A 26302-nucleotide genomic window follows, 5' to 3' on the forward strand; every position below is an offset into this window, starting at 1 on the left:
TGGGAATAGTTTATAAAAAGATGACAGCAGAGGTCATTAGTGATTTCTGTGTTAGCACTGTATTTACTCCCTTTAAAATAAAAATTACATACTATATTGCCTTCCAACACAGGCATTATATTTCAGTGTATTCCTTTGCCAAAAACAAAGATAAACCATAGAACATATCAGTAAATACCAACCAGCTTTGAATATGATCCCAAAATAGACAATAACTTTTTCTTCAGTCTGCTGTAGAGCTTCCAATTTGTAAATTAAAAACAGAGCTTACTGAGTTGCCTTAGGAAAGCCTTATTTAAGGGAAAAATAATGTTTCCTCCTTTCTTTCAGGTAATTTGGCAGCAACAGTGTTTTTAAGTTGCTGACATTAACTAGCTTTGTGGCAGAGTGGGTTTCAGAGTTTGGACTTCTTTCTAAATCAGGCTGTGATGTGTGAAAAGTTCCTCTGTAAACTTACTGAGTTTTATTTGTAATAGAAATATACATTCATTCAATAGAAATATAGCTTAGATATACAATAGAAAGGTGACTGGGGTCCATAGTACTTCCCTGTGTATTATTGGGTGTATACTTGGTTTCTTCTAACTTTAAAAGGAATATGAGAAAGATGGAGAAAATATTTTATATGTTTCAATTTGATCTCAAATTTTGGGGAGATTTAGTGTTCTCTCAGTTTCATTGACTATTTCTTGAGGTTCCAGTTGAGTAGTAGCTTCCCAACAAGATGGACTAACAGGGGTCAGTTTTACTTTCCTGCATGTAGCAACAACAGAAACAGAAATCATATATGAAACAATTGTTTTCAAGTCATCTGACATTAGGGAATGAAGGACAATGATCCCTGAGAGATGGGAAACAAATGAGACAAGCCCTGCACTTGCCTTAGTTTATCGTCTTTGGAGTTTCTAGGCTGTGTTACAGTAAGGGAGAAAGCAAGTGAAACCCAGGGAACTCCCTCAGTTGAGGAGACAGAGCTGAGAGTCCAGTAAGACCAAAGAAGAGCGGGTGTCGGCAAATTACCATGTGCTTTTATTGTAAATAAAGTTTTACTGGAACACAGCCACACTGTTTCATTTTTATCTTGTCTGTGGCCACTTTTAAGCTATAATCACTGAGTTGAGTAACAGTAACTGAGACCATATGACCCACAAAGCCCAAAATATTTACTATTTTCAAACCCTCACCTAGAGTTTGTTGGATGGGATATCAGGGGAGATCTTCACAGAGAAAAAATGCTGAAGACTGCAGAGGGTCCTTTTCCAGTATTCAACAGAATACTGGTGCCTCTGAGGAAACTGCAGCCTAGGAAACAACCATCTGAGTGTCTTAGAGGGCACAATGGTCACACAGAGTCAGGACTAGTGACACTAACAGTTACTATGACTGTATTCCATATGTTCAAAAAGTTAAGTAGACTTCTCAATTACTTAGATCTAAATATAAAAAACTCCTAGGTGTGAAAACCACAGTGTGTGAGGAGAAAGCTTCATTGCATAAGACTGAAGATAGATTATAAATTGCAGAAAAGTAATCCCAGCACTTTGGGATGCCAAAGTGGAAGGATTGCTTGAGGTCAGGAGTTCAATACCTGCCTAGAAATAGAGTGAGACCCTGACTCTAAAGAAAACATTTGAAAAATTAGCCAGGTATGGTGGTGCATACCCTTAATCCCAGGTACTCAGGAGGCTGAGGTGGGAACATTGCTTGAGGCCAGGAAGTCAAGGCTGCAGTGAACCATGATTCTGTCACTGCACTCCAGCCTGGGCAACAGAGCAAGACCTTTTCTCAAATAATAATAATAAAATCAATAAATAAATTGCAGAAGAAAAGATTAGTGAACTTGAAGATAGAGCAAGATAAAGATCTTGTTTCTAAAATGAAACACAGAAAGAAAATAACTTAAAAAGAGTATCACTGAACTGTGGGAAAATATACACTAATAAACAGAATTTCTGAAGAAGGGGTGGTGGGACAGAAGAAATAATAGCCAAAATATTTCCAAATTTGATATAAACTATAAAACTGCAGATAGAAAAAGGTCAGTAAATCCCAAGTACAGGACACCTTAAGAAAGGCATACCAAAGTGTATTATAATCAATTTGCTCAAAATCATTGACAAAGAGAAAAAAAAATCTTAAAAGCAGCCAGAGGAAAAGACATGTTACACACCAAGGAGCAAAGATAAGCAGATTTTTCTTTTCTTTTCTTTTCTTTTCTTTTTTTTTTTTTTTTTTTGAGACGGAGTTTCACTCTTGTTGCCCAGGCTAGAGTGCAATGGCGTGATCTCAGCTCACTGCAGCCTCTGTCTCCTGGGTTCAAGTGATTCTTCTGCCTCAGCTTCTCAAGTAGCAGGGACCACAGGCATGCGCCACCACGCCTGGCTAATTTGTTGTATTTTTAGTAGAGACGGGGTTTTTCCATGTTGGTCAGGATGGCCTCAAACTCCTGACCTCAGATGATCGTCTACCTCGGCCTCCCAAAGTGTTGGGATTACAGGCGTGAGCCACTGCGCCCAGCCAGCAGATATCTTTGAAGTATGGAAAGAAAATAACCATCAACCCAGAATTATATTCTGCCTTTGCCCCCTAAATCTCTGAAGATGAAGGCAAAATATTAGAAATCTCAGATTCATGAAAGCTTAAAGAAGTTATCAGCTTCATATGAAATGTTAAAGGGAGTCCTTAAAACAGAAGAAAACTACGTCAGCATGAAAGGAATTAAGAGCACTGGGAATGGTGAAAAACGTAGGTAAATGGATGAGATATTTTTCTAATTTGTAAAAATGTAAATAATTAAAATTTAAAATATAATTGACTTGTTTTAAAATATTGACTGTTAACAGAAAAAAATGGCATATTGTTTTTAATATATACTGTGTGTGTACCTACGCATGTGTGTATATATATGTGTGTACACAGTAGCATAAAGGCCAGGGGGGTGGGAAATGGAACTATACTATTGTAAGATTTTTGTAATATATGTGAGTGGTATAATATTACCTGAAGGTAAACTGTGATAAGTTAAAGATGTACATAATGAACTCAAAAGCAACTACTAAAATAACAAAAACAAAATGTTGTATCTAATATTCCAACAAAGGAAATAAAATGGAAACAAGCAAGAGCATGTAATTCTAACCATATCAATACTCATTAGTTATAAACGGACATTCTAATAAAAAATGAGATTGTCAAATTAGATTTAAAAAGTAAGTTCTAACTGTATGCTACTTATAAGAAACACACTTTAAACTTGGAATTGCTACATTAATATCAGACTAAGTAGGACACTTCACTCAACAGCAGAATACACATTCTTTTCAAGTGTGCAGGGAATATGGACCAATATAGGGAATCTTCTCGGCTCTAAAACAAATCCCAGTAAATTTAAAAGGTTTCAAGTCATACAAAGTATATTCCCTGACCACAAGAGTTAAGTAAGAAATGAATTACAGAAAGATCTTTGGAAAGTGCACAAATATTTGGAAACTAACACACTTTTAAATAGTCCATGGTTCACAGAAGAAATCTAAAGGGAATTAAGAAATTATTTTTGACTGAATGAGATTGAAATCAGATATACCCATATCTTTGACAACTACTCAGATTTTTTTACAAGTGGATTGAGCTATTAATACTTGGGACACGTTTGATGACCCTCAAGAAAATTAAAAGCCCATCTCCAAAGTTTCCACACTGCATGATTTCATTTATATAACATTCTCAAAATGACAAAATTATAGAGATAGATAATAGATTAGTGGTGCCCAGGGATTAGGGATGGGGTGGGAGAGAATGTGGCTATATAGAGTTATTACAAGGTTGATCTTTGTGGTGATAGGACAGTTCTGTATCTTGATTGTAGTGGAGGTTACACCAATTTACACATGTGATAAAATTGAATAGACCCTCACACACATAAATTGAGTGTAAAACTGTATATGTAAATTTCATTATATCTGAATAAAGTCTCTGGATTGTATCAATGGTGATTTTCTGATTTTGCAACTGAGTGAAAGGTACACAGAGTATCACTGTACTATTTTGCAACTTTTTGTGAATCTTTAATCATTTCAAAATAAAAACTTGTTTTCTTTTAATGGTGATAGGGTCTTACTCTGTCACTCAGACTGGAGTGCAGTGTCTTAGTCATGGTTCACTGTGGCCTCCAACTCCTGAACTTGAGTGATCCTCCTGCCTCAGCCTCCTGAGTACCTGGGACTATAGGCTCGCACCATCATGCCTGGCTAATTCAAAATAAAAACCTTAAAGAAAAACAGGAAATTTTGTGAGATGGCACTAAATCCATACTCAAGGGAAAAATTATAGGGCTAATGTTTATATTATAAAGGGAAAAGATCTGAAATCAATGACCTCAGCTTCCACATTGAGAAACTAGACAAAGTAGAGGAAATTAATGCAAAACAGAAAATACAGGAAAAAAGGAAAAAGATCAGAGTATAAAATCAGTGAAACAGAAAACATAAAAACAATAGAGAAAAAGCAATGAACTATGGTGTGCTTTTCTTCTGCTTGGGGTTTATGGGATTCTTGGATCTGTAGGTTTGTAGTTTTCATCAAATTTGGAAATTTTTATACAATTATGTCTTCAAATATTTTTTCTTTCACTCTCTCTGTCACTTTCCCTTTTTTGGACCCCAGTTTTATTTACGTTGACCACTTGGTACTTTCCCAGCTTACTGAATTTTTGTTAAGATTTTCTTATTCTTATTTTCCTCTCTGGTTTTATATAGTTTTTAATTCTGTATCTGTAAGTATATTAATTCTTTTTCTTTGTGTTAATTTCATTCAATGTATTTTACATTTCGGATATCATAATTTTTATCTCTTGAAGTTCCATTTGGATCTTCTTTATATCTTTTATTTTCCTCTTCCTTATCTACATGTTTGACCATATGGAATATTATGGAACCATAGGCAGCACGACGTGTTAGAAGGCAGCAGATGAGAAGTAAAAGCAAGTGATTAGAAGTAAAAGCAACTAGTACAGAATTTGGTGTCATGGAAGTCATAAAACAATACTTTGGGAATTAGAAAAGAGAATCATGAGTTGAATTAATAACTATAAAAAGTCTTACTGTAACCTGACTTCGAAGTAGTTGTGTTCCTTTGACAAAATCTTAGTTTTTATTATGCTAAAGACAATTAAGTCTGTTGTGAGTTTCTTTCTTTCTTTCTTTCTTTTTTTTTTTTTTTTTTTTGAGACGGGGTTTCTCTCCCATTGCCCAGGCTGGAGTGTAGTGGCACGCTCTTGGCTCACTACAACCTCTGCCTCCCGGATCAAGTGATCCTCCTGCCTCAGCCTCCCAAGTAGCTGGGACTCCAGGTGTGTGCCACCATGCCTGGATAATTTTTTTATTTTTAGTAGGGACAGGGTTTCACCATGTTGGCTAGGCTGGTCTTGAATTCTGACCTCAAGCGATCTGCCCGCCTCGGCCTCCCAAAGTGCTGGGATTTCAGGAGTGAGCCACCACGCCTGGCCTGTGGTGAGTTTCTTCTGAATAGCTGGGCTGTCTATTGATTTATAGGCTTTAAAAAATATGATTGCTTTACTAATCTCTTGGCCTTCACTTACATTTTGTTTGGCATTTACATACAATAAAGTAGATAGGACTTAAAAGTGGTATTGAGCTTTAGTAGAGGAGTACTAAAATTAGTAGTCAGCAACATGATTAAGGTTAAATTCTAGGGATCTTGATTCCCAAACAAATTTTGTACTGCTGGCATACAAATCACAACATTGAGACTAGAAAGAGCCAATATTTTTCATTCTAATATAAAGCCATGCATTTGGGTTTAGAATGAAGTCATTTTAAAAGATTTTACTATCCTGTTGTTTCATGAGTTTTGAGTCCAATGCTGATATGTTTTGTGCATGTTGCTGTTATCAACTCCACTCCCTGCTGCCTATAAAAAGGACAACGATACAAAAAGTTAAAGAAATTATTGGTGTTTTCTACCGTGGATATTGTCAGTGCCCTGGAAAAGCAATTAAATATGCAGCAATTTTCTTATGAGCTGCTCCCTTTCAAATGTCACATTAGATTTAACCTAACATCCTGGATTGCATTGCTGTTGTGGTATGTGTACTGTACATGGTGGAGGTACTCAACAATATTTCCTTGCATTGTCCATAATAAATATTTGCCCAAGACTGGGTAGGGGTGGAAGGGGAAGAAAGAAATGTTTTTCTCTTGTAGAGGAAACTTGTAATGTAGGACTTATTTAAAGAGTGTTTATAGTCCATTGTTGTCCATAGGGTGTGTCATACTGCTCTCTCCAGGTCTGAAAATCTGGGATAGTTAAAATTTCACTTATTTACACTTAAACTTCTCAGTTGACATATCCTTCCATAGAGAAATGATTTCAGTGAGACGGTGTTTTTCTTTAAGAAACTAAACATTTGAGACATTTAGACCCTGAATTTAGCCACATGTATGTTTTATAACTTGGGGAATATTATGAAATTAAAGTTTCTTGTTCACTGAAAAGATGTCAGATAGCTGAATGAAAGTACCATCAGCAATCTGCAAACATTGTAAATGATGGACTTAAAGTTTGTATTAGATTTCCCTTTTTGCATTTGTGTTCATTGGTTACCTACTTCTCCATCTCTTCGCATAGATCTTCAGACCTGTACAATAGAGTTCATTGAGTTTTTCTGTCATTGCTGGTCTCGAGATGTTTCAACATTAAAAGTTCTTTCCATTACAACCTAATGATCTGTACCCTATTCTGAAGCTAATCTTGGCATTTTCTGTCATTTGCTTTAGTATTTACCAGTTGGGGAAAAAAAGTGTGCGTGTCGTACCACCATCCTGTCATAATTCTTTTTTTTTGGCCAGGGGGAGACAGGGTCTCACTCTCTTGCCCCCAGGCTGGAGTGCCGTGGCATGATCACAGATCACTACAGCCTCAACCTCCCAGGCTCAGGTGATTCTCGTGCCTCAGCCTCCTAAGTAGCTGGGACTACAGGTGTGCACCACCATGCCTGGCTAGTTTTTGTATTTTTGTAGAGATGAGGTTTTGTCATGTTGCCTAGACTGGTCTCAAACTCCTGGGCTCAAGGCCAGGGTCAATCCACCCACCTCAACCTCCTGTAGTGCTTGGACTACAGGCATGAGCCACCACACCCAGCCCTGTCATAATTGTTCTTAATATAGAAGTGAAACAAAAGGAATGTCTCTATAAAGGGCTGCTTTTTACTTTTTAATGTCTTTATTTTACAGAATTCTATGTGATAGTAGTATCTCAGTGTTCCTTCAGATTGTTGTATGACTTGCTATTTTTCAGATACATTTGAGAGTAAGCATTTTTTCCACTGAAGCTAGTCATATTTATTGCACTGGATTAACAAATTTGGCTGGGCTAGGACATTGATTCTGATAGATTAAAGAAAAAGCATCTATTGGTTGTAAAGCCTGTAGGCTATCAGAACTCTGCTCCTGATGTCATTTATGCTATCTCACGTAAGTTTAAGGTTATTTACATACAGATACTGATATCCCTCAATGTGTGGTTTTATGATTGGGTAGTGGGGATAGGGGATGCAGGATTTGGATATATGTTTGCCCTTTTCTTCAAAAAATGAGGAGCTAAAATAGAATGGTCTGTCTGTGCTTACCTGCAGTAATGTAATGGGTTGATATTGGCAGGAGCTTGTGGGTTGATGTGGCATCACTTCCATCACTACGGTTAATTGCTAATAAATGACTGACTGGGAATTTAGGAGGAATGCTACAACTGTCTGCTGTGTTAGTGGTAACAGGAATTCTGGCGCCATTTCAGGGTGACTATTTGTATTTGTCTATCAGAGTTAGAATACAGTTGTTTCTCTCAGTTTCAGCCTTCTCTATAGAATTTCTGTCAATTGTTTGACTCCATTAAGTGTGCAGAGGAAGTAAAAGCCTGAATGACCAATCCACCAGGGGCTATGGATAGACCCTTTCTTTGTCCATACTCAGAGCACTGCATTAGGTCTCATTATCCATTTATAATAAGTGACCTCTGCCCCCTGGGTCATTGAAAAATATTCAGTGTGCTTTTCTGACACATAGGGCACCTTTCTCAGCAGACACATGAAACAATGGGACGTCTGGTAGTCTGGAGAACTGGTATACATTGCAGGTTTTAAAATAAATACACAGCCTTGTGCCAAATTACTCTTCTAATTTTTTTTTCTCTGTTCTTACATGGTTTATAAATGGGCCAAGGGGATCCTAATGTCTGGAAAATAAATGTATTCCTTATCTCTTTTCTTTCTTATTATTCTAGTTTTAAAAAATTGCCGTGTTTTTCCATTTATTTTCTAGAAATGATTTGCCTTCATCTCTGATTTTGCATTTCCTGATAGAGAACTATAGAAAGCCTTGGATATAGTGAATGGAGAGAGTTACCGTCTTTCAAAAGTGTTTGCCAAATCTGCTCAGGATGGCTCTGGAGGTTATCTGTGACGTGCTCAAAACCTGTCTTCTTCTAGCCCTCTGTTCTGCCCAAACTGGTAGTAACCAGGCTGGAAAAGGATTTGACCCTTCCTTGGTCACTGCATTCCAGATTTCTTTCGTGGTATAAATGTGGACCACCTGCCAGAAAGCTTTGCGTATGTACTTGTTCTGTCTCCAGCTCCAAGTGTATAGACAGACTTGGGAAGAGATGGAGATAGAAATTGATTAGTGGCCAAAATAAAGATGGAAAGTAAGAAAACTGTCATGTCCAGAGCTTTACATGGTGTCAACTGAAGGACAGCCTTCCGCGAGTTGGAGTCTTGACCACCAGTAACTAACTGTGTGGCCTTAGTACAGTGCCCATGTTATATACTGATAGAAGTCAGTAATTTACTTGAAATATGTTGGGACAGGAAAAATAAAAGACTGAGAACCACTTATTTTGCAAGTCATATGAAGAAACGTTAAGAGGCAAATTAAAATTTTAACTTATACTTTATTTTAATTAAAGTATTTAAAATAAATTTATAAAGTATAAAAATTCTTTTATAGATATTTTTTAAAGTTTAAGATGCAGGCTTTGTATTAACAAAGCCCTATTCCCCTTAGAACTTACTGATGTTGTGTTTATTGTTATATATACTGGCTTGTTTATTTTATTAAAAATACATGAGCTACACAGAGATTTGAAGAAACTCAGTTTATTACACTGAATTAGCTGCCATCCTGTCCAGGAGACCCAGGGGTTTTATTATAACAAAATGGTTTTCCTATTAAGTGATGTACTACTGCATGCTCTCAGATATTGAGACACAGAGGTGTTATCTCCATAAAAATGACCATTGCATCCATGCACAGATTTTTTCTCTCCAGTTATGGAAAACCTCATAGTTGTTAGAACTCTCTCCATGACAAGGATTAATATATTAACTGGATTATAGCACTGTTTGACAAATTGCTCACTAAATACATCAAAATTGATTGGACCTTCTTTATTTGAATTGACAAATGGCTGCATTAGGAGAAGGAGGGAAATCCATTAATTATAGCTGCTCTCGACCATAGGAAATGTAATCATATAAATATGGATTTTGCTAAAACAAAAATGTCTTCTTTATGGTAGTGTTGTTTATATGTATATCTGCATCTCTTTGCCATTAATAGAAGGCCTGTGCTTACTTACCATCTTTTAAATAATAAAAAATTGATTTCTGTGGTGTTAAAAGGTGTGTTCTACCCTCTCCTGACTATATAATAGTTTTTTAAATATTCCAGAAAATATCAGGGAAACCCTGTAGTTCAGCCTTTCTGCTCAGTTTTCAATTGCACCTCTATTTGTCCATCTTGTGCTTCTATGTTCATTGATTTCCCAGATAACCTTACAGATTTGTGACTGCTCCAGTGTAAGTTTATATATGACAGGGCCTTTACTTAGGAAACAGGAAATCCAGACACTGATGGTTTTGACTTCCTTCACATTGTTACCTTGAGTGAGTCATTGCCTTCTACGCCTCAGGTTTCTCATCTTTATAATTAAGGGTGTGAAAATCTTTTTCAACTTTCAGATTTGGGGAGATCCCTGCCCTAGAATCTCGTAACTTGTCCAGAAACTCATGAAAATTCAGACCCAAGACATGTTAAAAGAGGAGGAAACAAGCAGCTAGGACACCTGAAGTCAAGGTCTTTGTCTTGTTACTTTTTTTTTTTTCACATTTTATGTAGCAACAGGATTTTCTAATAGTTTGCAAATAATTCCTGATTATACAATAGTAGAAACAAAGCAGCCTGTGCTATTCTTTATGGAAAATGTATGTTTCATAAACATTTTTAAGCGATCTTTTTGAATTATTTCTTATTTCCAAGAATACCTAGAAATCCCTTCTTTCTTCAAATTAATGTATATATGATTTTAGTTTTTCCTATATGTTTTAATACTTTGTTTTAAATTATAGTCTTGTGTCTTTAGCATAGCTACTTTTTTTTTATATTGAAGCCTCTTTTAGCTGCTGATTATGAAGCTAACATATTTAATATTATTTTTGTTTCTGGAGTTCTGACTGTTCCATTTATCAAAAGTTTTAATTTTGCTTTGATAGTGTATAAGCTCTTATCATTACTGAGTTTCTCTTTCTTTGAAAAAATTTTTCTCTCTTGATTTTTCTTACTGAAAGTAACCAGCCCAGTAACCGAGGCATAAGGTTGGTGGGTGAGTGCCACAGATTGTCTCTCTGCAGCTTCAGTCTCTTCTTCCCCTTATTGTTGTCATAGGATAGGAGACTTTTGGCCATATGATTCTGTGGAACTTGGCAGGGGACCAGAAACACCATATTGCCTTCAGTGCCTTTATGCCATCAGTTTCTTGTCTTTTATACTACGCTTTCTTTGTATTTTATGACTTTGTGAAGAACATCTGTAACAACCCTATATGATGTGAAATCTGGTCAAAGCTGAGATTTGGGGATTTTTTGAGGATAGCGTTTTTTTCTTTTCTTGGTCACTCGGCTGATTTCTGTGCTCTTTTCTAGATGCTAGCATGTCATCCGTGGTTGCATCATGTACACCTTTAAATATGAAACCAACAAACCAGTATTTTCTACGATGAAAAATTTTAATCAGAGGTATTATAGTGTATGTAAAGTAGCACTTTGATTGTTTCTCTCACTGCATGTGAAGCTTCCTTCAATGTCTGTAACCTTGTGTTGTGACTTCTGGTTAAAGTAATTTTTCCCCATTGTTTGATCACAGTATAGGTATCTCTGATCAGGATACATAACTGTTTATTATGATTATAGAAAAGATTATATTAAGTGAAGCAGACATTGAATAGACAAACAACAGACTCTCAATCAATGATATAATTGACGTTTGGGGATAAAAATCTCTTACATGTTTTATATGATAAATTTAACTTAAAATAATGAACTTAGTAGGTAATGAAGTGATAAATTGAGGTGAGGTGATTTTGCTTAAGGTGAAGAATGTGATCTTTAGAGTCAGCAGTCCTGAATTTGAACTCTGTCTCTGCTACTTGCTATCTGTACAGCTTTAGGCAGATAACCTCCCCGAACTCTTTTTTCTCCCCATCTTTTTTTTTTTTTTTTTTTTTTTTTTTTTTTTTTTTTGAGACAGAGTCTCGTTCTGTTGCCCAGGCTGGAGTGCGGTGGCACAATCTCGGCTCGCTGCAAGCTCTGCCTCCTGGGTTCACACCATTCTCCTGCCTCAGCTTCCCGAGTAGCTGGGACTACAGGCGCCCGCCATCACGCCTGGCTAATTTTTTGTATTTTTAGTAGAGATGGGGTTTCACTGTGTTAGCCAGGATGGTCTTGATCTCCTGACCTCATGATCCGCCTGCCTTGGCCTCCCAAAGTTCTGGGATTACAGGCGTGAGCCACTGCACCTGGCCTCTCCCCGTCTTTAAAATGGGTATTAATAATACCTACCTTACAGGATCATTGTTAGATAATATGAGATAATTGATCCAAAAAGGCTTACCCAAGAGCTTGGATAGAAAAAAGAAACTCACTAATGATAGCTGGTGGTTGTACTTAGTTGTGTGAGAATGAATACCCTTCTTCCGTGAGGTCTTTCTTGCTTCTCATGATTCCACCTACTTTATGACAGATACTGCCAGGTGGCACAGGTGAACATACTTTGTTGTGAAGAGAAAGCGTTTGTATTATATCTCCTCTGATCTTCAGTGGTCAGCTGGACAAGTATGGCTCTAATATTGGGCACATTTTCAAAGCTATAGAAAGAAATTTTACTGGCTGGGCACGGTGGCTCACACCTGTAATCCCAGCACTTTGGGAGGCCAAGTTGGGCAGATCGCTTGAGTCCAGGAGTTCTAGACCAGCCTGGCCAACATGGTGAAACCCTGTCTCTACTAAAAACACAAAAATTAGCCGGGCGTGGTGGCGCGTGCCTGTAATCCCAGCCACTCGGGAAGGCTGAGGCAGGACAATCTCTTGAACCTAGGAAGGAAGGAAAAAATGAGTGGGAAAGAGAGAAAGTGAAAATGAAAGAAAGAAGGGAGTGAGGAAGGAAGAAAATGCAGGGGAAAAGAACTACCTCACTTTGTTATACAAGATGAAAATAAAATGGTATACAGTAATGAAAGTAAACCAGACCTAAATATATTTTTTTTATTATTTTTATTTTTATTTTTTGAGACAGAGTCTTGCTCTGTCGCCCAGGCTGGAGTGCAGTGGCGCAATCTTGGCTCACTGCAAGCTCCCCCTCCCAGGTTCACGCCATTCTCCTGCCTCAGCCTCCTGACTAGCTGGGACTACAGGCGCCCACCACCACACCCGGCTAATTTTTTTTTTTTTGTGTATTTTTAGTAGAGACGGGGTTTCACCGTGTTAGCCAGTATGGTCTCGATCTCCTGACCTCATGAGCCACCCCGCTTGGCCTCCCAGAGTGCTGGGATTACAGGCGCGAGCCACTGCGCCCGGCCACCAGACCTAAATGTATTAACATGGATGATACATATAGTGTTATGTGGGAAAAAAAACCTGTTCTAGAAAAGTATTACTATGATTTTTTAAATTATCACTCACTGAATGATCCTGAATACTTCATGTATTCCACACCCTAGCCAAGAAGAGTCAAGATGACTCTCTGTCAGTCTGCAGGTCAAGAAATGGTTGTTCAATCTTTTGAAACATTCATAAAATAGTTTTTAAAAAAATTATTGGAGAAACGTTAGACGTACATAGTACACAGTTAGTTGTATAAGGAATCTACCAATTACCAAGTTTCAACAATTTACAACATTCTACCACAAAGTATCCTAAGAAAGTCATTCACTATTGTGTCTTTTTACCCATGATTCTTCACTATACATCTGATTATAAAGACTTTTTAAAGATCACAACTCCCCACCATTACGTAAAACAGGTGAGGCAGGGACAGTGATTTGTGGAGATCTCTGTTTAGTAGTTTGACGTTGTGGAGTAGGCAAGGAAGATCAAGCCTGGAAAATGCTCTTCTTACTTTTGGAAAGTTAAAGAAAACCCTGCAGTAGTTGTGGGCTTGTGTTCTCTGTCTCATGCTTTCCCCTATCCTCTCGGTTTTGAGAATTTTCTGATTAATTTAGAGTTAAAATATGGAAAACATCATGAATGCTTAATGATCATTTAAGAAGATTTTAGATTATTTTCCTAACTATAGGGTGAAAATGTTTGGTGCCTTCCAGGTCTAAAAGCTTTTGTCTCTCCATGCCAGGGCAACTTTGCCTCTTTTGCTTAGGCAAGAGAAAATCTGTATGTAATTCTTCCTGCTGCATAATGATGTGGATTTTCCTAGTATGTAACTAGATAATAAATAAATGAAACATGAAAAAACCACATTAAGTCTTTGCAAAAAAAAATTATTTTTGCCATTTTTACATTTGCAAACATCACCCCCCATCCTCGCCTGCTTTTTTGTTGTTGTTTGTCAGGGCTTAGTGTAGATGCTAGACTGAATACTACATTAGAGCCTTTGCTATTCAACTGTGCCATTGTAGATGGAGTCAAGAACAGTAAGTTTTCAATCACTGTCCTATTGCCTACATGTACAGATGGGTACATCGATTACTGCACACAATTTAATGACCAAAAATAGTGATTATTTACCTTTACAACATCAATTTACAGTAGGTTCCATATATGCTCTACTCATCCTAGTATCTTATCAAGTATATTTTAGAGTGTTCCTTGAATTTATAATGGAGAATTGATTATTCCTGAAAGAAATGCATCTAACATTCAGGTTTGGCTGTGAGAATACCGTTGCTACTGTTGAAGCATTACAACTCATAATTCTACACAGAATTTAGCTTAGGATGCTTTCAGCAAATAATCATTCTTCTGAACAAAAAAACAACGTGTTTGAGCAGTTGATAAAGCTGGTCCTATGTTTGATATTTGTGTGTATAAATACAGAGATAATGATAAATAAACAGATACGGAGACATTATGCATAAGCAAGTTAGAAGTAGCACACCCCCTTTAAAAAGTTACTGAATCTAAAAATAGGGGGAAAAACACATAACCCACTATGCAATAAGGTCAACTTTTATTTTGTTTATCGTTTTCCAACTTCTGTTGATATATATCTGATTTGTTTGCTTGCATATATTGACTATGGTGTGCTGCACCATCTGTATCAATTGTATTGTTCCTATTCCACAACTTTTAATTAAATATGAATTTTTATATCATGTTTATTTTATAAACATGATATACACGGTTTAAAAGGTAACAAAAAATATCCAGTGGAAAATAAATCCTCCGTATCTCCCAACTAACCTCATCCCCTCCCAGGAGGCAACTACTATTAGTAATGTATTGTATTCTATACTCCTGTAAAGGTAAGCTTTAATAAGAATGCTCTTATTGTTACATATGAGTCTGGCCAGATTATATAACCCATGATAAGACAACAGTTGTTATTCACAAGCTATAAGCAAGGTACTTTATAGTTATGATACAATTCTTTAAAATAGTGTGGACTTACTTTTCCAGCTATCCTACTGTTGGTGATTTAATGTACATACAGTGCAGTTGTACTATCAAATGAGTTGCACTAGTGTGAGTTCTAGTAGAACACATTAAGTAGATATTGTGTGTGTCTCTCCAGGTAGATATGAGGGGACTTCAAAAAGTTTGTGGAAAAAGGGAGTTAAAAGATACAAATTAAAAATATAAACTTTATTTCTCAAGATAAGCCCCATCAAGTTAAAGATATTTTTGTAAGCGATGATACTAGCCATTTAGTCCATCCTAAAAACTGAAGGTCCTGGGAATTTAATTATGTCAATGCTGTCTTTTTTACATTAACTAAAGAAAAATGGATGCCCTTTAATGATTTTTTTTAAGATTAGAAGCAAAAAGAAGTCTGAAGGAGCCAAATGAGGACTGTGAGGTAGATGCCTCATGATTTCCCATCAACACTCTCACAGAACTGCCCTTGTTTGCTGGGAGGAATGAGCAAGAATATTGTTGTGGTGGAGAGGACTCTGGTGAAGCTTTCCCGGGCATTTTCCCACCAAAGCTTTGGCTAATTTTCTCAAAGCATTCTCATAATCAACAGATGTTATTATTTTCTTTGGCCCTCCAGAAAGTCAACAAACAAACTGCCTCAAGCATCCTAAAAAACTGTTGCCGTGACCTTTGCTCTTGCCCACTTTTGCTTTGACTGCACCACTTCTGCCTTTTGGTAGCCATTGCTTTGATTGTGCTTCGTCTCTTGGATCCTACTATAACAGTAAAGCCATGGTTTATTTACAGTTTTTTGTTTTTTTGTTGTTTTGGTTTTTTTTTTTGAGGCAGAGTCTTGCTCTGTCACCCAGGCTGGAGTGCGGTGGCACAATCTCGGCTCACTGCAGCCTTTGCCTCCTGGGTTCAAGCGATTCTCACGCCTCAGCCTCCCGAGTAGCTGGGACTACAGGCACCTGCCACCACGCTTGCTAATTTTTTATATTTTTAGTAGAGACGGAGTTTCACCATGTTAGCCAGGATGGTCTCGATCTCTTGATCTCGTGATCCGCCACCTCGGCCTCCCAAAGTGCTGGGATTACAGGCATGAGCCACCATGCCCGGCCTCCTGTTATAGTTCTTTGAAGAAATGCTTCAGGATCTTGTTTCCACTTGATTAAAATTTCCATTGAAAGCTTTGCTGTAGTCTGCAGCTGATCTGGGTGCAATGCTTTAGGCACCCATTAAGTGAAAAGTTTGCTCACCTTTAATTTTTCAGTCAGAATTGGGGAAGTGGAACCAATTGAGATATCTTTGGCACTGGCTGTAGTTTCTGCTGTTAATCATTGGTCCTCTTCAATTAAGGCACAAAGAAGATGAATTTTTTTCCTATCAAATTGATATGGATGGCCTGGCCACTGAAGACTTCATCTTCAATACCATCTTGTCCCTTCTTAAAACGAACTATCCATTTGTAAACTGCTGATTTCTCTGGGGCATTGTCTCCATAAACTTTTGGTAAAGCATCAATAATTTCACCATTCTTCTACCCAAGCTTGACTGTAAATTTGACATTTGTTCTTACTTCAGTTTTCCATGAACTTTTTGAAGACCCCTCCTAAACTCCACCTTGTCCTTAAAATGGTTTGACCTTGCAAGTGCTTTGAGAGGATGGTTATAGTCTGTTCACTTCTTAGAAGTATATTAGAGGCTGGGTGTCATGGTATACACCTGTAGTTCCAGCTCCTCAGGAGGCTGAGACAGGAGGATCACTTGAGGCCCAGGAATTCTAGGCTATAGTGCACTATGATGATCATGCCTGTGAATAGCCACTGCATGCCAGCTTGGTCAGCATAGCGATACCTATCTCTTAAAAAAAAAAAAGTATACTTGGACTGTTTGAAATTTTTCCTTAGTAGAGTAACTGATCTGGCTGATAGCATGAACCCATTATGCTTTATTCTTTCTCTCCATTTTATGAGATATTTAGGGCCACTAAGAAGTAAAACTAAATTGTGAGCCCAGCCAGACTCTCCAGGGGTAATTTGTCCAGATGCTAAATGTCAAATGACCTCTTGGTAGCAGGAACAATAAATGAAAGCTCCTTAGTTTATGTCTTCTGTAGTAATATTATGATACTGTGGGGGTACAGAAAAGGAGATGGGGAGAAAAGATGCACCCAGAGTTGTCAGTTTTTCAGTGAAATCTATTAGTTTATAGACAGAGAAGATATATACTTTTTCTAATTATATATTGCCTGTGACTGTTCTTCTGGGAATGTGACATAAAAGGAAAGTGAAACCAGAGATGTACAATACTGACTGTTAGAAAACTTTAATAATTAATTAGAGAACATCTATGGTACTACAGGGTCAGGGCACAAGGAAGATCATTGATCCCTATAATATATAATGTAGATAAAGCTTGTTCCCCTTTATGTATTGTTGTTGCATTGGTATAGGGATGGCTGCTAATCAACAGAACAGCCAGTGATATTCTGTGGAATTGCTTTACTGCTCTGTGTATTAGATTTAGTGAATTCCTCTACATTTAAATTGTCACATTTATAAATCAGTGTGAATTTAATACTACCCATTTTCAAGTAGTTATGTGTGTTATTTTTAATCTGAAAGGGTTCTCCCTTTTTTTAGTCATTTAAAAAATCACACTTTAATTTTTGCCACTTTGATATGTATGCAATGATAACTTGAATCATTAAATCTCCAATTACTACGATTTAAATATGTTTGTTGGATATTATAATTCCTCCTCTGTGAATTGCTTGTTCATTGGGAACTGCCTTTGTTCATTTTGCTTTTGGATTATTTGTCTTCTGAACCTTTGTTTTAAAATGGCAAATTTTAGTTTCTATACTAAGAAACTACATTCCCAAGCAGAATTTCATCCTTATATCCTGAGTGCTTTCTGATCAGAAACAGAGTTTGGTAAATAGCCCTTGCTTATTGTATGGCTGCTATATAAATGCTGTTTTTAATAAGCACCAAAAATATATTGAGGTTTGTCCTTGGGAGAGAGTTTATCACTGTTGGCCTTTGGGTGAACTTTGAGCCTGAGCTGTTTCATTCAAGGCAGCATGATGTCATTTAACTGCAAATTTCTCTGTTGCTAGAAAAAGGAATGTTGTTCCTCTAAATAACCTAAACGACTGAAAAATGCTGGCACAACATTATTCATCTCTCAGGTCTCCACTAAAAACTTTCACGTGCTAAGGGTTTTATTGTTTGTGGAGGAAGGGTGGGGATATGGTAAAGAGTAGGAGAAAACAAAAACTGTGTCTGGTCCTGAATCTGAAGAATTCCACTGCCCATATAAAACTCAGCTGCCAGTAGGACCCAGTAAACTCACTTGTCCAGATAAGAGCTTTTGGGTCCATCTTTGATTTTTCACTTATAAATCAGTGTGAGTTTTAAATTTATAATTAAACTTACAAATGCATTTAATCTTCATTTATAGATCAGTGTGAATTTTTGAATTAAGAGACTCTAAATTTCTATTTCTATATATTCAGCCTATTATCATATTTTAAGTTTCCAACAAAATCTTAAAGCAGGTAACTATATGATTATCTCACATATAAAACTAGGTACCATTAGGGTCAGCATTTTTATCCTTAATTTGAGAAGCAGATTTCTCTGATAGTGATAGCATTGCAATTAATTTCAAGGAGTAGAACAGCTTCTTAACATCTGCTAGAGTTGGGAGGCTGGAGTTTACAAACAGTGGTACCTGTAGTTGATCAGCTATGTCCTCTAAAGCTTCCAGAGCTACAGCTAAGAGAATTTATTACTGGAAATTCAAGAAATGTAGGAAAGGGTAGAACAAGAAGAACAAAACCAAACCAAATAGACTTTTCCTTCATTACTTTCATAAATAAGCACTGCTCGATGTTCATTATGCTTTGTGCTTGTTTATATAAAGAGGATGCTTACAAGCTGTGTGTAGTCTTTTAACTTTTACATGCGTTGGCAGTTGTTTTTCATTGCTTTAAATGAAATGGTACTGGATACAGATATTTTTATTTTTATTCTTGCTTTACAAAGAAATATTTAAATCTTATAAACTTCATTTTTACAAGGTCTAATTTTTTTCCTGAGTATCTTAAACCATGTCCAATATAATGAGAGTAATTAATTACCTGCTCTAATGTACAGTATATTTAATATGTTAATGATAAATATCTTACCTTTTGTATTCTAAGTAGAAGACTAGATTAGTTGCAGATGAACTTTTTTGATATCTAGCTGTTTCTCTGGGGATATTTTAGAAAGAATTTGATTCCATAAAATTGAGGTTTTCTTCTCATTCTTTTGGGGGAAAAATTGAAATGTTAGGTTTAAATTTTTCTAGGAATGGTAATAACTCATTCTCGGAATCCTGGTTCAAATTCACCTATCCTAACCTGTATTAAGTAGTGTTAAAGAACTAGATATTTGAAGAAACTTAAGGATGTCAACTTAGAGGTCTGTTAATGTTTATACCTTTAATCTTGCAATTATTATTTATATACTTTAATACTTTGTACCTATAGTTTAGCAGTATGTAAAGCAACACTTTTAACTTTCTCTAACCGATAAATACCATATTTTCTGTGGGTAATTTTTTAAAATTCTTTACACATTGATTCTTGTATTAAGTTGCAGAAGGCATCTAAAAATTCAAAAATAGAACTCTTCTAAGATTTTGATTTGAAAAGTTATATTATTAATTGACTTTTTGGAACATTGTGAATTTTATTATATAGGATTCAGACCTAAGGATGTTATTAAGGGGACATTAATCTTTCATTTCATAACTTTATTTATGTGTGTATGTGTATATATATATATATATATATATATATATATATATATATATATTTATACAGACTTGGCAGTATTTTTGGTTTAGATTAACAGGACTAATTTTCAAAGGTCAGCCCTAAAGCAGATTGGCTTTTGTTTGCTTTACACATACTCACATATGAAAATATATAAATAGGCTGAACACAGTGGCTCACACCTGTAATCTCAGCACTTTGGGAGGCTGAGGCAGGCGGATCATGAGGTCAAAAGATCGAGACCATCCTGGCCAACATGGTGGAACCCCACCTCTACTAAAAATACAAAAATTAGCTGGGTGTGTGGTGCGCACCTGTAATCCCAGCTACTTGGGAGGCTGAGGCAGGAGAATCGCTTGAACCTGGGAGGCGGAGGCTGCAGTGAGCTGAGATCATGCTGCTGTATACCAGCCTGGTGACAGAGCAAGACTCCATCTCAAACAAACAAACAAAAAAAAAAAAAAATATATATATATATATAGAAACACACACATGTATACACAGAAGCCCATATATTCCTATAAGAAAAATACCATAAGTGATTTTTTAGCTCTTATTTACTCACTATAAGCATGATTTGCTTATAAATACTAAAAACAGACAGGCTCACAGTTACCTCATAATGATCTACTCATCCTGCCTTTGCTCGTTGATGTATATTTAGCAAAAGCCTGTGTGTAGAGGCAGTACTTTTGAAGTTGTATTCTCTAAAGTAAATTGATAGTATTCCCTATTCAGTATTTTCCTTTTCAGTTTGGCAGATAAGGTGTGTTTGAAAATTACTGTACTAAGAACATGGCTAGATTTATATCCTTGTACCAAGTTTATTAATTATCTAAGGACAGTTGGTAAATATAAAAGATACTAAACATTTTTCTTTAGGGTAGCTATTTTGTATCTTGGTCCATTGAACTTGGATTTGCAAGATATGTAACTTTATTTTTCTTTAAATAAACTCTATTAAGTTTTTTTTAGTACCTCCATTCGAAGAAAGGTGGAAAAATTAATCTCAATCAATTATACCACCTCCAAAGTTACATCTAAATTCTCTAGGGTGTTCAGGGTATAAAAGTATGAGGTAAGGGATTTGGGGACATTTTGTCCTAATTGTCACCACTGACATGTCCCATTTCCCCACCAGATCATTGGCCATTGGTTCATATAGGTCTCTGCAGCATCCATTCTTGTTTCTCATCCAGCTCCTGTCAGTTGTCTGGACTATGTCCATATTATTCTTGTACATGTATGAAACATTCTTCTCCTCTAAGCTATGGAGAACATGGTAAGGTTGTCACAGACCTGGCTGTACAGACACACTATGTGCACACCATTTCTACTCTTGTACCATGTGGGATCTCTTGCCACTTCCCTTAACTCTGCCCAAGATTGAAGACATAAGTTTTCACCGCCATTGGTCCCTAAAACTTCTTCTGGGATTCTGTCGTTTCCCACTCCTCTTTGTGACCCTCTTTTTTCCCCTTTCTGTCTCTGCCAGTCTCGCTCCAATCTCAGGGTATCATTCCTAATATTTGAGTGGTTAGAAGCATGGAAACTTTGCTCTTATCATATTTTCTTTTTATCAAGGTTGTAAATTCTTTTTTCCATGTGAACAGGTATGTCATTCCTTCCCAAGGTAGTAAACATAGAATGTTCTTCCTACCTGGATTGAGAGAAATTTTTTAATATAAATAAATGCAAGTGGTGAAATAAAATGGATAGACTTTGTCAGAGGAGCAAAAGAGAGGATAATTCTATTTAAAGAAAAAGCCAAAGAAGCATTAGGTAAAGCCAAAGACACAAATAATGGTAACCCACAATTAAAAAACAAAAAACCAAAGAAGTGACTTGGGAAATAGTAGAAGGAGAGATGAAAAAGAAGCATTGAAAAAAATCATGCAAGACCAACAAGAATCCCCAAATAAATGGAAGTCAAAGATTGCAGATTTACAGGAAAAGGGAAGAGTAATAAAGCTACCCAGCCTGGGTTTGCGATAGGGAAGGTACAGTTTCAGGGCAGGTAAACTAAATTTGATAGTGATGATGAATGTGATGGAGAATGGTGCAACTGAGCCAATGAAAAGAGCAAAAGAAGAAACAAAGAAGAACCTGCGCCACAAGGACAAAAAACAGAAAATGGTGCCAGAGACCAGTAGTTGAGTGCACAGATTTTTAAATTCATTTTAATTAGGTTTTAAGCTGCTTTTGTTTTGGGACTTTTAAAACAAAATCCAAATTAGGCCTACTATTCAATGTCCACCTGCAAGAAAGGAAAACTTTCAGGCCAGGTGTGGTGGTTCATGCCTGTAATCTCAGCACTTTGGGAGGCTAAGGCGGGTGGATCACTTGAGGTTAGGAGTTTGAGACCAGCCTGGCCAACATGGCAAAATCCCGTCTCTACTAAAAATACAAAAATTAGCCAGGCATGGTGGCGCACGCCTGTAATCCCAGCTACTCAGGAGGCTGAGGTGGGAGGATCGCTTGAACACAAGGTGGAGGCTGCAGTGAGCCGAGATCATGCCACTGCACTCCAGCCTGGGTAACAGAGTGAGACCCTGTGTAAAAAAAAAAAAAAAAAAAAAGACCCTTTTCACAAGATGGCGCCGAAAGCGAAGAAGGAAGCTCCTGCCCCTCCTAAAGCCGAAGCCAAAGCGAAGGCTTTAAAGGCCAAGAAGGCAGTGTTGAAAGGTGTCCACAGCCACAAAAAGAAGAAGATCCGCACGTCACCCACCTTCCGGCAGCCGAAGACACTGCGACTCTGGAGACAGCCCAAATATCCTCGGAAGAGCGCTCCCAGGAGAAACAAGCTTGACCACTATGCTATCATCAAGTTTCCGCTGACCACTGAGTCTGCCATGAAGAAGACAGAAGACAACAACACACTTGTGTTCCTTGTGGATGTTAAAGCCAACAAGCACCAGATTAAACAGGCTGTGAAGAAGCTCTATGACATTGATGTGGCCAAGGTCAACACCCTGATTTGGCCTGATGGAGAGAAGAAGGCATATGTTCGACTGGCTCCTGGTTACGATGCTTTGGATGTTGCCAACAAAATTGGGATCATCTAAACTGAGTCCAGCTGCCTAATTCTGAATATATATATATATATATATATATATATATATATCTTTTCACCATTTAAAAAAAATAGAAAGGAAGCTTTTTTGTTGTTGTTTAACTTGTCTTTTTTGTTATTCACATGAGAATTTTTTTGAATGTATAGTTCTATTTGTGTAATTTCAGATGATTCAATATCAAAAGGAAGATTCTTCCATGAAATTGCCTTTGTAATATAAGAATGTATTAGTACAAACTAAGAAAATATATGCTATATAAAAAGAGCAAAAACTTAGTTTATTTTTACCTTTTTGTGCCCAAAGCATTTGAGAATGAATTTTAAACTAGAATGTTGGCTATTGATTATGGGCCCTTCCCACAGATAATTTATCCTGTCTCCTAGGCTGGCCTTCTGTATTTACACAGGCAGCCTGGTAACATTAGAAAGAATTACTTGTCACAAAGCTTTTCAATACTATATGTAGACTGACTAAAATCAAGAGACTTACTGATTTCTTTGTATGAAAGTTGTGTGACGCTGGCAGGTCATATCTGTAAAACAGAAGCCACCTAAGGTCATTTCCAAACACTTAACCACCTTTGACTAAAACAACAACAACAACAACTACAACAAAAACTAAGAAAAGTATTAAATACTGGTAAGCTGAACATTTTAGATCTGTCCCTTTAACTTATGCATATACTGGCTTGATATGTCCCCCAACATCAGCCATGGAAAACAGAGCCTGGCTCTTCTGCTATAATGGCCATTTATACTGAAATTTGAGGTTATAGTGAAGAATTTAGAAGGATAACAAGTGGACAAAAAAAGTAAATCCTATGAAAATGATAGTACCTTTCTATTTTAAATTTCCTAATAATTTATAGCTAACTTAATCTCATAATAACCATGCTTATTTCAGAATTTTCTTGTCTAGATTTTAGAAATGGCAATAAGTAACTAATTATTTTCCTCCTAAGCTCTCAAATGAAAACCAGTTTTTCATATTTTTTCCTTTTAAAGAATAATGTAGATTCTCCAAACTTTTACTACTGATCTATTTTAGAGGAATGGCAGTGAGTCTACTCCTGTATAATGCAGCTCTCAAATTTTAATGTGTAATAAAATCACCTAGGGATCTTGTTGAAATGCAGATTGTAATTCAGTAGGGCTGGGTGGGTGGAGCCTGAAGTTATTTATTTCTAACAAGCTCTGCGAGGGATGTCAATGTTAATGGTCTGAGGACCACATTTGGAGGAACAGCGTTCTGGCTTGGTGGTATACTGTTGGGACTGTTCTAAGGTATTCCATACTACATATTGTAATTCCTAAAACTGTATAGAGAATCCAATACTAAATATAATAGGAAGACCAACAGATTTTAATAAATATATTACATTACCAATTATTATGAACAGTAATATATCTAGTTGTATGTTTAACACCACAGTGCCAATTAATGATTAATTTATTGTGAAAAAAATATGTTCTCTTATTGCACTCTTCTTTCAGACTTTTCAAAATTATTTGGATTATAGTTAGCTTCTAATTATAAGCTTTTCCTGTTTTGATGTTTGTGCTTTTACCCAATTTAGTAATAAAAATGTATCAAACATGGAAAAAATGGTGAGGCAGAGGAAGGATATTTATTTGATAATGAAAAATATTATCCCACCAGATTTATTTTTTATATTGCCCATCTTCTGATGGCTTCCAAGTATGCTTAATTAGAAAACTATTTTTGGTGAAAAAAGGGGATGGAAATTCTTATAATCTCTTTAGGATTTTGGGGTGCATATTTATGGTACTATTTCTAGATGTATATTTGGAATCTTTATTACTTCCTTTGGAAAGTTAATGAGGGCAGAGAGGATCTTTCTCCCTTCTCACTGTGGAAAATTCCAAACATACACAAAACTAGAAAATAATAGTATAGTGAGCCTCCATGTACCTATCAGCCAGCTATAACAATGATCAACTAATGACCAATCCTGTTTTCATCTGTAATTCTACCTCCCACCTTCATCCCTGCACTGGGTTATTTTGAAGCTAATCCCAGACATTATAATATATTATCCCTATTTTGATGATGGATAAATAAGTGTCCAGCCATTCTAGTGCCGTTACTTACTTAGTACAGAATCCAAAACTCCAACCACCCAGTAAATACTTATTGAGTACTTGTTCTGTGACACGTACTAGTCTAGGCTCAGCATATATAAAACACAACATAAACTTTTGGAGAAATTCACATTAGGTACTAGCTAGTTACGTAAGGCATGGTTACTCACTTCTACTTAAAAATTGCTAATTGCTTTCCATCATATTACTCGAGCTTTATTACCAAAAAAAAAAAAAAAAAAGAAGAAAGGAAAAGCCCACAGTAATCTGCTGGTCCTACTTCCTTTGCCTTACTGACTTAACCTTCCACTCACAACATGGCTTATCCCACCCAACCACAGTGGCCTCCTAGCTGTTACTTATTCCCTTTATGTTTACATCTCAAAATCTTTGTACTTAACATTCCCTTGGTCACACCTCTCCTTCAGATATTTGCATAACATATTACCTCACCTCTTTAAAATCTTCTCTGCCCTCATCTGCTTTCCAGCCTCTACATATTTTCCATATTCACATTTTTCACTAGTATTTAAGGGGTGGGAATTTCAAGGATCCTCTTGTTCTCTTCTGTATTAAGAATTAATATAGAATTTAGTGGTGGGAAGATAACTTAGCCTTTTGAAAATATCATTACTTATCAGCCTTTCAATGTATATCAATTATTTCCAAAAGAATGCTGAAATAATAGTTATTGTGATATTCTTTTCTTCTTGATATAATTTGTCATCACAAGAATGTAGGTGTATGCTTTTGTGATCATTTGTGTTTTGTACAAATGCCACCATGCCGCTTGGCTGTAGAACTATGATTTTGAAGAACTAGCAGCTAAAAGTTTTGATTACTGCAGATCTTACACTTTAATACTGTGTATGCCTCTGCTGAGTAATTCACTGAATTAGCATTTCTCCTCTTGCAGCAAGTTAAGATAAGCTTTTTGTGAGTCTGTGTCTTTTAAAATCTTGCCCTAGGTTATGCTTTGTCTACTTTATTTGTATCTGTTTCACTAAGATACAGTTTTTCAAAATACTACCTTGTTCTAGCAAGAGCTCAGTGAGGTTGGCATTCTCTTTCACTGCTTGGGTAAGTGTATAACTCTTTCTGGGAACATATATTAAGAAATTTATATATTTACATCCTCTGATTTCATATGTAGGAATCTAACTCAAGGAAATTTTTGTATGTTGATGTGTATATATAAATGTCTTTTGGTGGTAGAAATTATGAGGGTTTTCAGCTTCTCATTCTTTTCTATTTCTTCCACACTTCTTTAATGATCATCTCTTACTTTCTTACTTTTCTTTCTACTTACCTCCCCTCTTTTTCTCTGTTCCTCCCAGTACTTCATTGCTTGATTTCTCTGAGT

The 26302-nt window shown here is 36.5% G+C and overlaps 1 protein-coding gene, 1 long non-coding RNA gene and 1 pseudogene across 11 annotated transcripts in view; 2 read left to right on the plus strand and 1 right to left on the minus strand.

The window, feature by feature from the left end:
• Positions 1 to 26302, plus strand: part of BCAS3 (BCAS3 microtubule associated cell migration factor) — a 714981-nt gene that overhangs the window by 369663 nt on the left and 319016 nt on the right. The window lies entirely within an intron of this gene.
• Positions 1 to 26302, minus strand: part of BCAS3-AS1 (BCAS3 antisense RNA 1) — a 101500-nt gene that overhangs the window by 13001 nt on the left and 62197 nt on the right. For 2 of the 3 annotated variants that reach the window (NR_186505.1, NR_186507.1), the window contains 2 exons: positions 23327 to 23369; positions 22492 to 22610 (listed from right to left, as the gene is read on the minus strand). This is a non-coding gene — a long non-coding RNA (BCAS3 antisense RNA 1). The remainder of the gene's footprint in view (positions 1 to 22491; positions 22611 to 23326; positions 23370 to 26302) is intronic. The other variant, NR_186506.1, reaches the window with a different exon arrangement.
• Positions 22342 to 22871, plus strand: RPL23AP74 (ribosomal protein L23a pseudogene 74; annotated as a pseudogene).

The sequence above is a fragment of the Homo sapiens genome, chromosome 17, assembly GCF_000001405.40.
Source record: "Homo sapiens chromosome 17, GRCh38.p14 Primary Assembly".
Taxonomy (NCBI): Eukaryota; Metazoa; Chordata; class Mammalia; order Primates; family Hominidae; genus Homo; species Homo sapiens.